The sequence below is a fragment of the Homo sapiens genome, chromosome 7 (assembly GCF_000001405.40).
Source record: "Homo sapiens chromosome 7, GRCh38.p14 Primary Assembly".
NCBI classification, from domain to species: domain Eukaryota; kingdom Metazoa; phylum Chordata; class Mammalia; order Primates; family Hominidae; genus Homo; species Homo sapiens.
This window is the reverse complement of record NC_000007.14, coordinates 128,412,324-128,426,523: the sequence shown is the minus strand read 5'-3', so window position 1 is coordinate 128,426,523 and position 14,200 is coordinate 128,412,324. Positions and strand designations below refer to the sequence as shown.

At 47.2% G+C, this 14,200-nt stretch overlaps 1 annotated feature.

Moving 5' to 3' along the window:
* Positions 473–632: a silencer, noted in NCBI's record as "silent region_18607". NCBI's record gives its function as "represses an Ori minimal core promoter by ATAC-STARR-seq in GM12878 lymphoblastoid cells {active_cell/tissue: GM12878}" and the evidence as "EXISTENCE:reporter gene assay evidence [ECO:0000049][PMID:35858748]".

The following is a 14,200-nucleotide window of genomic DNA, read 5'->3' as shown; positions in this document are numbered from 1 at the left end:
TCCCCCCAGACAGATTCTTGCTCTGTCCGACCAGGCTGGAGTGCAGTGGCCCGATCTCAGCTCACTGCAACGTCCACCTCCCGAGTTCAAGCAATTCTTCGGCCTCAGCCTCCTGAGTAGCTGGGATTACAGATGTCCCCCACCACGTCCGGCTAATTTTTGTATTTTTAGTAGAGACGGGGTTACACCATGTTAGCCAGGCTGGTCATGAACTCCTGACCTCATGATCTGCCCACTTTGACCTCCCAAAGTGCTGAGATTACAGGCGTGAGCCACCACGCCCAGCTGAAACTGTTCTTTAAACTGGGTAGCCTATACCAATGTAAGGCAATGTTGAGGAGTAGATGCGGCCTCTTTCCTCAAAGAGAGATCCAGAAAGGCTTCTGAAAACCCAAGACACTTGAAGACCATTGTCCTCTAGCAGTCTGAACACCATGGAGAGGCCCACAGCTGTGAAGACAGAAAGGGATGGCCCCGGTTCTACCAGGGCCCCATTCCAGTGAATGAAGGCAAAGAGCCTGCCTGAGCAAGGAGTCACTGCAGTACTGGAGAGTCCCAGAAGGGGGCAGTCTTGTCTCAGCACCCCCCGACATGGATTCAGGTGCAGCCATCCAAGCCAATTTGCTTTGAAAAAGTTTATGTGACTGTTTACAGATTTAACTTATTTTTATTAGCCACTGTACCATGGTACACAAAGTAATTACAAACTCAAGATTAAAATTAAGGCCATGTTGTAAAAACTAAAAAATTAAAGCTAATTTTTGTTTTTTTTGAGATGGAGTCTTGCTCTGTCGCCCAGGCTGGAGTGCAATGGCACGATCTCGGCTCACTGCAACCTCCACCTCCCAGGTTCAAGCGATTCTCCTGCCTCAGCCTCCTGAGTAGCTGGGATTAGAGGCGCCTGTCACCACGCCCGGCTAATTTTTGTATTTTTTAGTAGAGACAGGGTTTCACCATATTGGTCAGGCTGGTCTCGAACTCCTGACCTCAGTTGATCCGCCCGCCTCGGCCTCTCAAAGTGCTGGGATTACAGGTGTGAGCTACCGCGCCTGGCCTAAAGCTAATTTTTAATGTGCTTAAGGTTCTTCGGTAAGAGAGTTTAGCAAAACAATTTCTCTAGATTTCTTCTTTTTAATCACCATTTTGTCTTTGATTATGACATCTGTATTCATACTAGGCTTATATTTCATCCATGCAAGTTAGGTGTGCACATGTAATGAAAACAATAACAATGAAATCATTCCAATAGTTAGGAGATAAAACACTAGTTTTAGTGAATTAACAATAATACTTCATCCTTTCACTCTGAACACAGCCCGAGGTCAAGTGAAACCAAGTCTCAGGCTGCCAGAGCTCATGTCTGCAGAGTGTGTATGAAAATTCTCAGGGCAGCTGTTTGGCTTCAACTATCATGGTAATAATAGCTTTATGAAGCAACTGCTATGTGCCAGGTGTTTACTTAATATTAATAAACTGCTGTTCCTCATAGCATGTTAACAGAAGTCACTATCATCCTCATTTTTCAGAGGAAGAAACAACCCAGAATGCCTGTCCATGGTCATATAGCTAATATGGAAGGAACTAAGGGTTTCAGCCAGGCTTCTGTCTGCCAAGCTCATGGACATTCACCACATCACTCAGCTAGTCCCCATAACTTTGGCCAAGGGACTCTCTGGGATCTACTCCAAAGCCTCAGGCAGGACTATGGAGGAATATCTTTTCCCACAGCTCCCTGCTCCATCCCACATGATTTGCCCTACAGCATGATGAACCTCAGGTCCAGGGGGGTACCTGCCACCTACTCCCAGAAGTGGAATTAGGGCATGGCTGCAATAAGAATATGAATCCAAGGAATGGAGTAAGGGGCATAAGAGTTGGATTTCCAGCCTGTTTGTTGCTGGACTTAATGGGAACTATGTTTATAAACCATGTGGGCTCTTCCTGAATCTAGAAGAAAGGACAGCTGAAGGGCCTGTGTAGTTGCTGGGCCTCTGCACCCAACCAAGGCTTTCTGTGGCAACTGTGAAGAGGTTGTTGAAGATCCTGGATGGGATTAATCTTTGTAATAATGCAACTCTTTATGGTCGGGCACGGTGGCTCACGCCTATAATCCCAGCACTTTGGGAGGCTGAGGTGGGCAGATCACGAGGTCAGGAGATCAAGACCAGCCTGGCCAATATGGTGAAACCCCATCTCTACTAAAAATACAAAAATTAGCTGGGCATGGTGGCATGCGCCTGTAGTCCCAGCTACTCAGGAGGCTGAGGCAGAAGAATCACTTGAACCTGGGAGGCGGAGGTTGCAGTGAGTCGAGATCGTGCCACTGCACTCCAGCCTGGGTGACAGAGTGAAACTGTGTCTCAAAATAATAATAATAATAATGCAACCCTTTATAAGCACCCTTTTCACTTAGTGTTGCCCTGCATCTTCTAAATCATCAACAGTAATTAGTAATACACATGGTACACATTAAAGCTGTTCACCAAATTTTTCCTCCTCTCTGCCTTCTGGCCACTTGAAAGGATTGTATTCCCTGGTCACTTGTGATTGGGTGTGGCCATGGACTACAGTAGTTGTGGCCAATGGGATTAAGTGGAATTGATGGTATCACTGCTGGCCTGGAGCATTTTATTGACTTTGTGAGACCTTCAGAGCTCTCTTCCCCTCTGCCACAGCTAATGGCACGGTTCCAGATAGTGATTGCTCCATCAGCCTGGGTTTTAGAGTAGCCCCATCTGACCCACAATGGACATGCAGAGTAAATGAGAAATGAATTTTTGTTATGTTATGCCAGTGAGTTAGGTTTTTGCTGTTCTTACTGCAGCATAACCTAGGCTATCCAACTGGTAGATTGGATTTATTAGCCACCTGGCACTGTGCTCTCAGTTAAGGTGGAGTAAATGAATCATTTAAGGAGCAGTAGGTGTGGTAGAAAGAGAATGGATTGGCTGGGCTCCGTGGCTCATGCCTGTAATCCCAGCTCTTTGGGAGGCCGAGGTGGGTAAGTCACCTGAGGTCAGGAGTTCGAGACCAGACTGGCCAACATGGTGAAACCCCATCTCTACTAAAAATACAAAAATTAGCCGGGTGTGGTGGCGGGTGCCTGTAATCCCAGCTACTCAGGAGGCTGAGGCAGGAGAATCACTTGAACCCGGGAGGCAGAGGTTGTAGTGAGCCAATATTGCGCCACTGCACTCCAGCCTGGGTGACAAGGGTGAAACTGCGTCTCAAAAAAAAAAAAAAAATAGAATAATGACTTGTGTTTGTGTAGTTGTTGACACGTTTCAAAGCACTTTTAAGTAACTTACTTCATTGGTTACCTCACCTAGCATTTAATATATTCCACTGCAATGACAATCTTCAGAAAAAAGGGTGTAAACCACTAGGAAACTGAGGCCGAGATGTGACAGGGTCAGGGCCAGGGCAGGGGAAGCTGACACACTCATGCAGAGGGGCCCTGCAGAGAGAGAGCTGCTGCAGAAGCCTCCATCTGCTCACGAGGCCTCCTTCCTCCCGCCTGCCAATGCCAGGATAGGTGCCAGGCCTGGCTCCCATGCCAGCACTCAGGGACACAGTGGCATAGTAGCTATGCATGCAGTGGGCTTGTCACACATATCCCACCCCAGACCCTCCCCTGCTGGCTCAGGATGCTAGGGGCCACAGACATTTGCTCTGTTGCAGGTCGGTGGTGACAGAAGCTTTCTAAACCTCTTCCTAAATCCGCTCTCAGTCTGAGGAGAATCCTTTTTGATATTGTTGGCTAGAAATTGAACAGGACAGTATCTCACAGCATGTCAAGACTACAGGCCAGGTGCAGTGGCTCACGCCTGTAATCCCAGCACTTTGGGAGGCCAAGGTGGGCAGATTGCTTGACCCCAGGAGTTCAAGACCAGCCTGGGCAACATAGTGAGACTGTGGCTCTACAAAAAAAAAAAAGTTTTTAAAATTGCTGGGAATGGTGGTGTGTCCCTGTAGCCCCAGCTACTTCGGAGACTGAGGTAGGAAGATCACTTGAGCCCAGGAGGTTGAGGCTGCAGTGAGCTGTGTTCGTGCCATTGCATGCCAGCCTGGGCAACAGAGGGAGATTCTGTCTCAAAACAAAACAAAACAACAAAAACAAAAAAGACTGCAGATACGAAGTCCTTTTCTCTTTTTTCAGTGTATGCAGGGAGAAGAAGTCCTAGGGCATCCATTCTCCCTCTCTCTCTCTCACACACACACCCCCTACACACACTTACACACACATACAGACACACACTCCTACACACCACACCACATAACACACACACACACCCCACACACACATACACACACACACCCCTACACACACCACACATACCACACCACACACATACACACACACACCCCCCACACACCACAAACACAGACACACACACCCCCACACACCATATCCCCCCCCCCCCACACACATATACACTTTTAGGCCTGCCTGGAAGGTAGGGTAGGATTATGTCAAGGGTTCCACAGCCCTGATGTGGGATAGGGTGAAAAACCACATGGGACTTGTAATGGAAGGGTGACAAGGAGCAGTGAAGAGTGCTTCCTGTGCTCCCAATGAGATCTCACATGGCCTGGGGTCATCAGGCCCACCTCTGTACCTTCAAGGGGGTAGAGGTGTTGCCTGCCCTCCCCACTTCACAGGTGGCTCTGGGCTGAGCTGCAGAGGCACCTGAGCGGGGGTGGGGGGAGGGGTGGGGAATGGCAGTGCTGTGGATACAGCTCCTGGCCTCAGGTAATTAATTAGATGGGGCTGGAGGCCTAGGGCAGGAGGGCCTGGGGATCAGCCAAGAGACCCAGGTCTCCAGGCAGGAAACCCTGGGCACCCACTCACACCCACAACCACCCTGAGGACCGAGGGGTGGAAACAGGAGCACAGGGAATTCCTCTCCAGGTATTGGCTCCTGGGAGGGAGTAGGTTGGGCAGGAGGGAGATAGAACAGCTGTGGGAACCAACAAGGTCTCAAGGCCTGGAAGTAGGGTGGGGAGGTGTCACTTTCAGATGTGCCCTTGGACTGATCAGGCAAGTGGGAGGCTATGCCTGGGGATGGAGGGAGGCTTGGGGGAATGAGGTGGGCCTGTGACTACCTGTCATGTGGCTGGGACCCTACCCTTCTCCTCCCTCTCTCCCACCTTGAGAAGGAAGCCCCGTTCCACCTCCCTGCCCCCTGCCCTCTGTTCTAAAACACAGCAGCCTGCTTGTACCCTATGACCTGCCAAGAGGCAGGGACTTAGGCGACATGGAGGGAGGGTGGGGTTCTTTTTGAACTTGGGGCCCAATTGCCCTCCTGAACATGGACCAGAACAACTTCTGACCCATTTGCACCCTTCAGACTGAAAATCACCCACAGCAGCACCTCCTCCAGGCCAGGCAATGCAGGGACCAGGATGGGGGCCTGCCTTGGTCCCACACATTAGCACCAGCACCCTGTGTCCCTCTGCTTTCAAGCCCTGGGCTGGAGGCAGGAGTGGGTTGGTGTGAAGGCCAGGGTTTGTTGTGGTTCTGATAATGTCAGGGCCTCTCAGGCAAGAGAAATGTGCAGTCTGCACATTGCTTACATTTTTCTTATGAGGCCAGGTTAGGAAATGGTTGAAAATGAAAGCGAGGGAGGGTGAGCACACTATCCTTAAAGACACACTCTTGGTGCCCCCTGTTTCCCTGGGGGTGAGGGAAAGGGTGTCTTGGTGGGGATCCAGGGCAGAAGCAGCTGTGGGCACAGGTGGGAGGAACTGCCATAGCCTCGGCCTAGATGTTTCCTGGATCGGAGATCTCCACCACTGCACCAGCTCTTCATAACCCCAACTTCATCCTCACTGGAGATTGAAAAGCATGCATAGCTGGATGAAACACAGCCAGGCTTTTGGATTACAGTGGTCCCCCTTATCCTCAGAGCATACATTGCAAGACCTCCAGTGGATGCCTGAAACCTCAGATAGTATTGAACCCTACATATACTGTGTTATTTCCATCTGATAACCGGGATGGCTTCTAAGTGACTAAAGCAGGTAGCAGTAGTGTGGATACGCTGAGCAAAGGGATGATTACACCTCTCCAGCAGGTGCAGCGGGATGGCATGAGATATCATCCCACTACTCAGAATGGCATACAATTTAATTTTTTAAAATTAAATTAAATTTTTTTTTTGGAGATAATGTCTCACTATGTTGCCCAGGCTGGTGTCGGACTCCTGGACTCAAATGGTCCTCCTTCCTCAGCCTCCCAAAGTGCTGGGATTACCAGAGTGAGCCACCATGCCCGGTAATGGCTTGCAACTTAAAACTCACAACTTTTCTTTTTTTCTGAAATTTCCCATTTAATATTTTTGAATCTCAGTTGACCGTGGGTAACTGAACCTCAGAAAGTGAAACTGAGGATAAGTGGGGACTACTGTATTTCAGCCCTAGAGGCCAGGGCTGCTGGGATGAGGAGGGGTGAGGGAGAAGAGTCATAGCACTGGTGCCTCGGTCCCTGCTTGCTCCCATGAACCCCCATCCCCTGGACATGGGTGGCTGGCAGGTGTGGGAAGACAGGCCCAGGTTTGGGGCTCCACCTCCTGCATGTCTCTTCGCAGCTGCACCTTCTCCACTGACTTCACCCAGCTCTTCAATGTTTGGCACAGGAGTCAGGGCAGCCCCTGGCAATCCACTTCTTTCTTTCCCCAAATCCCATCCCCTTCTGGCCTAAAACACCTCCAGTTACTTGTTCTTTTATTCTGCCTTTCATTCTCCTTTCCACCCTTTCTGACTATGCTCCAGGCTGCTTTACCTTGGGGTCCCTAAATGTAGAATGGAGAAGAGGGACCCCTGGCAGTCAAAACAGACCCTCAGGAACTGAGGTTGTATAAGAATTCCCTAGGGACCTTGACTGCTCCCTCCTCAGATGCGCACAGGCCTTTGCTCTTCTGTCTCCTCGGAGTGTCTGAGTGGGAAGTTCCCAGTTACCCCTTCACTCCACCCAGTGAGGTTTCTCCCCATTGCTCCTGCTCTGGCAATGCTGAACACCCATCTGCTCCCGCTCCTCCTTTCCCCCACTCTCCCACGCTTGCTGGCATCTCCATTCACAGTGACTGTGCCTCACCGGCCAGAAGCTGTTCCGTGGCTTCTGTACCAGCAGATTCTCTTCTTAACTGGTATTCCATACTGTGTGTCTGTGCTCTTCGGAACATGATTCCATTTTCTACCTGCCTCTGTATGTGTGTGTGTGTGCTGGAGTTTCTACAGGATATCCTTTCAAATAAACAGACACTGAGGTTCCAGAGTAGGACTGCTGGATTTGGGGTAGAAGAAAGCCTTTGTCTGGGCAATGCCCCTGACGGTTTCATTTGGCTCCTGGTGGCTGGTATCAGCACAGGGTGGGCTCAAAGCTCAGGTGAAGTAGATTATACTGGGGAAAGGTCTGGGCCTGGGCAACAGGTGGACTGGCCTCTAGCTCTAGCTCAGAGACAATCACAGGATGCTCTCTCAAGCTTTCTGTGACTTGGTTTCCTCATCTGTCATGTGGAGATAATGTCACCTGCTGACCCACCCCTCAGGCTGTGGAGTGGAGAGAATGCTCCATCCAGGACGGCCTGCTCACTGCTCCCAGAAACCTCCCAGCTCACTCCCCTCCAGCACTCTGTCCATGTTCCCTCCTTGGACTGTTCTCTCTGGGCCCTCTCCCTTCCTAAATCCTAGCTCTTCTTCAAACACAGTCCAATCCTTTCTTCTCTATAAAACCTTGCCTGACTACTCCAGTTGATAGTGTTGGGTTTCTGCTTTCAACTTCTATAACACTCAAGAGTTGGCACTACTCAATGAGCATGTAATTCTTATGTCAGGATTTCTCAACCTCAGCACCATTGGCATTTTGAGCTAGATCATTCTTTGTTGTAGGGTGTCACCCAGTGCATTGTAGGATGTTCAGCAGCACCATTAGATGCTGCCAGCACCCCTCCAGTTGTGACAACCAAAAATGTCTTCAGACACGGCCAAATAAATCCTGGGGGAAAAATGACCCCCAGCTGAGAATCATTACTTTATATTGTTATTTAGCTATTTAGCTTTTTGTTTGTTTTTGAGATGGCGTCTCGCTCTGTCACCCAGGCTGGAGCGCAATGGTGCAATCTTGGCTCACTGCAACCTCCACCTCCCGGGTTCAAGTGATTCTTCTGCCTCAGCCTCCTGAGTAGCTGGGACTACAGGTGCCCGCCACAATGCCCAGCTATTTTTTTTTTTTGTATTTATAGTGGAGACAGTGTTTCACTATGTTGGCCAGGCTGGTCTCGAACTGCTAACCTCAAGTGATCTTCCCCCTTCGGCTTCCCAAAGTGCTGAAATTACAGGTGTGAGCCACCATGCCTGGCCTGTTATTTAGCTTTTAATGTTTCATTTGCCTGGCCAGATTTCTTTGTATGCCCTCATGTGCCTAGCACACTATACATGTCATATGCTCCGTAATTATCTGTTAAACAAATCAGTATACTCTTTTCAAGCATTAAAAGTGCAAGTAGAAAATTAGCTGGGCATGGTGGTGTGCGCCTGTAGTCCTAGCAACTCAGGAGGCTGAGGCAGGGGTGACTGGTTGAGCCCAGGAGTTTGAGGCTGCAGTGAGCTGCGATCGTACCTCTGAACTCCATCCAGCCTTGGTGAAAGAGCGAGATCCTATCTGGAAAAAACAAACAAACAAACAAACAAAACAGGCCAGGCATAGTGGCTCACACTTGTAATCCCAGCACTTTGGGAGGTCGAGGCAGGTGGATCACCTGAGGTAGGGAGTTTGAGACCAGCCTGAGCAACATAGAGAAACCCTGTCTCTACTAAAAATACAAAATTAGCCAGGCGTGGTGGCATATGCCTGTAATCCTAGCTACTCAGGAGGCTGAGGCAGGAGAATCGCTTGAACCTGGGAAGCGGAGGTTGCGGTAAGCCAAGATTGTGCCATTGCACTCCAGCCTGGGCAACAAGAGTGAAATTCCATTAAAACAAAAAATTGCAAGTAGAAGTTATCACAGCTACCTTAGGCCTAAGTTATACTATATGAGATGGAGACATTCATATTTGTTTCTAAAACATTAGTTCACTGTCTTCCCACAATCAGATTGTGGGGAACAATTGTTAGCAAGGAATTTTGCTATGTCTACTGCAGAAATTCCGTTACAATAAGTGTAATATACAACAAAAATATTTCCAAGCTAAAACCCACTTATTTCAAGTGCTATTTACTCAGATTGAACTCTGAATCACAAAATAATTGGAACCATCCTTGGAAGGCCACTGCACTGGGCTGTGATTTGTTTTAGATTATCTGCTGATGTGTTAGGTTCTGTACGCTGGAAGAGGAGAGTTAGTAAGAAGGTATTTAAAAGAATGATTAGCGTGTCTACCTGCCCAGGAAATCTCTCTTGTTTTCTCTCCAGGTTGGGCTATCTCCCTCCTTTTGACCATAAGAGCCCTTTGTGCCCTCTTTTGGCACTGCCTAGGCAGTAGAAGTTAGAAAAGACTCACGAGTTGGAGCAAACAGTCCGGGGGTCTTACCTGGCCTCCACCAATCATCGTTGTCTGACTGTGGAAAACCTGCTTAAGCTTCCTGAGCTTCAGTTTCCTTGCCTGAGAAATAGACATAAATAATAAAATGCAGTGAGGATTAATGAGGAAAGTATGCCAAGTGCCTCTCCTTGTGTCTGACACATACTCAATTGACATTGGTCTTCTTTCTACCATTAGTGTTGGTCTCATAGCTATCCTTGCTTTTTCCATCCCCCTCATTCTTTGCACTCCTCTAACACCTAGCACAGTGCCTTGCCCATAGTGGGAGCTCCATACAGGAGCATTTTTGATGAAAGGACTCAGCTCTTGACTCCAGGAAGTCTGGAAGGTGAGGGAGTGCAGACAGACTAGCACTTGGACTGACCTGACTATCACCCCCTCAATCTTGTAGCCCATGTTAATTGATTTTTTGTTTGTTTGTTTGAGACAGGGTCTCACTCTGTCGCCCAGGCTGGAGTACAGTGGTGCAGTCTCAGCTCACTGCAGCCTCAACCTCCCAGGCTCAAGTGATCCTCCCGCTCAGGCTCCTGAGTAGCTGTGACCACAGGGTGCGCCACCATGCCCAGCTAATTTTTGTATTTTTTGTAGAGATGGGGTTTTGCTATGTTGCCCAGGCTGGTCTTGAACCCCTGAGCTGAAGTGATACTCCCACCTTGGCCTCCCACGGTGCTGGGATTACAGGCGTGAGCCACCATGCCCGGCCTGCATTCTAATCCTATAAGTATATTCGACTCATATATTTTTTCCAGCTGGAAAGAACTTTCTACATTATTTAATCCAAGAATCTCATTTCTCAGATTAGGAAACTGAGGCCCAGTGAGGATACATAGCTCTTTCATGTACAAAAGATTGAAACAGTCTATTGTCCTCATGCCTTTAGAAGATTAAATAGTTTGCTTTAGTTCCAATTTTTTTTTTTTTTTTTTCAGACAGTCTCGCTCTGTCACCCAGGCTGGAGTGCAGTGGTGCAGTCTTAGCTCACTGCTGCCTCCACTTTCCATGTTCAAGCAATCCTCCACCTTAGCCTCCTGAGTAGCTAGGATTACAGGTGTGTGCCACCATGCCTGGCTAATTTTTGTATTTTTAGTAGAGATGGGGTTTAACCATGTTGGCTAGGCTGGTTTCAAACTCCTGACCTCATGTGATTCGCTTGTCTTGGCCTCCCAAAGAACTGGGATTACAGGCATGAGGCACTGCACCGGTCTAGTTCTAGCTTTTGTCTAGTAGTTCCTCTAGACCAGAAGCTCTCAATCTCAGCACTATTGATATTTGGGGTCAAATAATTATTTATTGTGAAAAGCCATTGTAGGATATTTAGCAGCATCCCTGGCCTCTACCCACTAGATGCCGTGAATACACCCTTTCTCCCCTTAGTCATAACAATAAACAATGCCTCTAGACATTGCCAAATGTCCCACAGAGAACTACTGGCTTAGCCATTACTGTAGGTAAAATCCCTTCATATGAAATGCTGAGGCCCTCAGGTTATTCCATCACAATATGATTGCTTTAATGAATAGTTTGCTAGCAAATCTCATTTGTAGCCAACCAGCTCTGGAGATAAGGCAGAGCTGCTCTGTATTGCGTGCCAGGTCTCAGCCACTACTCGAGTACTCTCATTATGTATGTGTGTTCATTTATGTGTTATATTCTGCCTACCTCCAGGAGCTTTTAAAGTGGCCCCAAAGCATTTCTTTCTCAGAACATCTGGCCCTGTCTGTGTGTTGCCTGGGTGTCTGGGCTGTGTGGAGGGGTGTCCTTCTCTGCTAGAGCACTTCCCACATTGTCTTCTAGTTGCCTGCTCGTCTCCCAGCCCCCTGGACTTTAAGGCCCGTGACAGTAAAAACAATGAACATCTTGCTCACCATTATACTCCCAGCATCTAGTTGGCACATGAGAGGTGCCCAATAAACATTTGTTGAATGGCTATATAATAGAAATTATGTATTATATTTAGCTGGGGGTCAAAAGTATAGAAGTTAGATACAGCTTACTTAGTTTACAATAATCATTACTTGCGTTTATTAAGAGCCTACTATGTACCAAGAACTTTACATGTGTTATCTTGTTAATTATAAAACAACCTTATAGACAGTATTAGCTCCATTTGAAAGATGAGGAAACTGTGGCTCAGAGAGAGTTCATGACTTGGGTAATTATATAGTAAGCCCAGATTTGGACCAAGGCCCACCTAATTGCAGAATCTAGCCCTAGTCTGCTTTGATATATGATGGGTCTTCAAAAAGTTCATGGAAAATGTATATTATGAAAAAAACTATGCCTGGACTTCAATTTTTTTGCAACAAAATACATTCATACTAACTTTTTATAACATGTCTGAACAGGATCTAGTTTGAGGCACTGCAAAGGATAAGACATCAGATTGAAAAGAGCTCTATCGGCCGGGCACGGTGGCTCATGTCTGTAATCCCAGCACTTTGGGAGGCCGAGGTGGGCAGCTCACGAGGTCAAGAGATCGAGACCATCCTGGCTAACACGGTGAAACCCCGTCTCTACTAAATATACAAAAAATTAGCCGGGCGTGGTGGCGGGTGCCTGTAGTCCCAGCTACTCAGGAGGCTGAGGCAGGAGGATGGCATGAACCTTGGAGGCGGAGCTTGCAGTGAGCCAAGATTGCACCACTGCACTCCAGCCTGGGTGACAGAGCTAGACTCTGTCTCAAAAAAAAAAAAAAAAAAAAAAAGAGCTCCTATCAAAGCAAAGGAATTCTGCTAATATTGAAGCAAGAACAAACATTAAATATATGATGAAGTTTAGGTGGAAGAATGATGAAATTCCTGATGCTTTATACACAGTTTATGGGGACAATGCTCCAGCGAAATCAGCAGTTTACAAATGGATAACTTGTTTTAAGAAGGGTTAAGATGTTGAAGATGAAACCCAAAGCAGCAGACCATCTACATCAACTTGCAATGAAAAAATTAATCTTGTTTGTGCCACAACTGAAGAGGCTGATGATTAATAGCAAAAACAATAGCCAACATCATAGACATCTCAATTGATTCAGTTTACACAATTCTGACTGAAAAAAATTAAAATTGGGCAAACTTTCCACTCAATGGGTGCCAAAACTCTTCCTCAATGGCAGGTAAGGGATGTGGAAAATCTATTTTTCTCCCATCTAAGTTGAAGTCTGTTGAGTAGGCAAAGGCAGATGGATAGTATCTTCCACCTATCTGGCCCTAGCTTGGGAGGTCTGTGCCCAAAGCAGCCACAGATAAGAGCAGAGCTTTCAATGGAAATTTTAAAAACATGCGATCAAGATGCTGAAGCATTTCTTTGAAGACTTGTAATAAGAGATGAAACATAGCTTTCCCATTACAATCCTGAAGACAAAGCACAATCAAAGCAATGGCTACTAAGAGGTGTAAGTGGGTCCAGTTGGACTGGTCAAGAGCAAAGGTTGTGGCAACAGTTAATTGAGATGCACAAGGCATTTTTCTTGCTGACTTTCTGAAGGGCCAAAGAATGATAACATCTGCTTATTTTGAGAGTGTTTTGAGAAAGTTAGGCAAACCTTTAGCAGAAAAATGCCCCGGGGAAAGCTTCAACAGAGAGGGCTCTTCTCCATCACAGTGCTCTTGCTCACTCCTCTCATCAAACAAGGGCAATTTTTCAAGAGTGTTAATGGGAAATCATTAGGCATCCACCTTACAGTCCTAATTTGGCTCCTTCTGACTTGGTTTTGTTTCCTAATCTCAACAAAAATCGTGGCTGGGTGCAGTGGCTCACGCCTTTAATCCTAGCACTTTGGGAGGCTGAGGCGGGTGGATTGCCTGAGGTCAGGAGTTCTCGACTAGCCTGGCCAACATGGCAAAACCCTGTCTCTACTGAAAGTACAAAACTAGCTGGGCATGGTGGCTCACACCTGTAATCCCAGCTACTCAGAAGGCTGAGGCACGAAAATCTCTTGAACCCGGGAGGCAGGGGTTGCAGTGAGCCAAAATCGCACCATTGCACTCCAGCCTGGGTGACAGAGTGAGACTCTGTCTCAAAAAAAAAAAAAAAAAAAAAAGACTGCATTGACATGCTTAAATTCCAAAGACTTTAAGTTCTTTAGAGATGGACTAAATGGCTGGTATCATGGCTTACAAATGTGTCTTGAATTTGATGGAACTTATGTTGAAAAATACAGGCCAGGCGCAGTGGCTCACACCTGTAATCCTAGCACTTTGGGAGGCCAAGGCGGGCGGATCCCGAGGTCAGAAGATCCAGACCGTCCTGGCTAACGCGGTGAAACCCCGTCTCTACTAAAAATACAAAAAAAAATTAGCCGGGCGTGGTGGCGGGTGCCTGTAGTCCCAGCTACTTGGGAAGTTGAGGTAGGAGAATGGCGTGAACCTGGGAGGTGGAGCTTGCAGTGAGCAGAGATCGCGCCACTGCACTCCAGCCTGGGTGACAGAGCAAGACTCCATCTCAAAAAAAAAAAAAAGAAAAATACAGTTTATTTTTTCTTCTTATCTTTTAATTCCATTTTTCCATGAATTTTGTTTATTTGTTTGAGACAGTCTTGCTCTGTGGCCCTTTTTTTTTCAGTACATTGCCTTCATGTGACAACATTGTTCACTGTGTTATAATGCATTTAATTATGTTACAGTTATCTTTCATGTCATTCTTACTGTCCTGGTAACTTTAT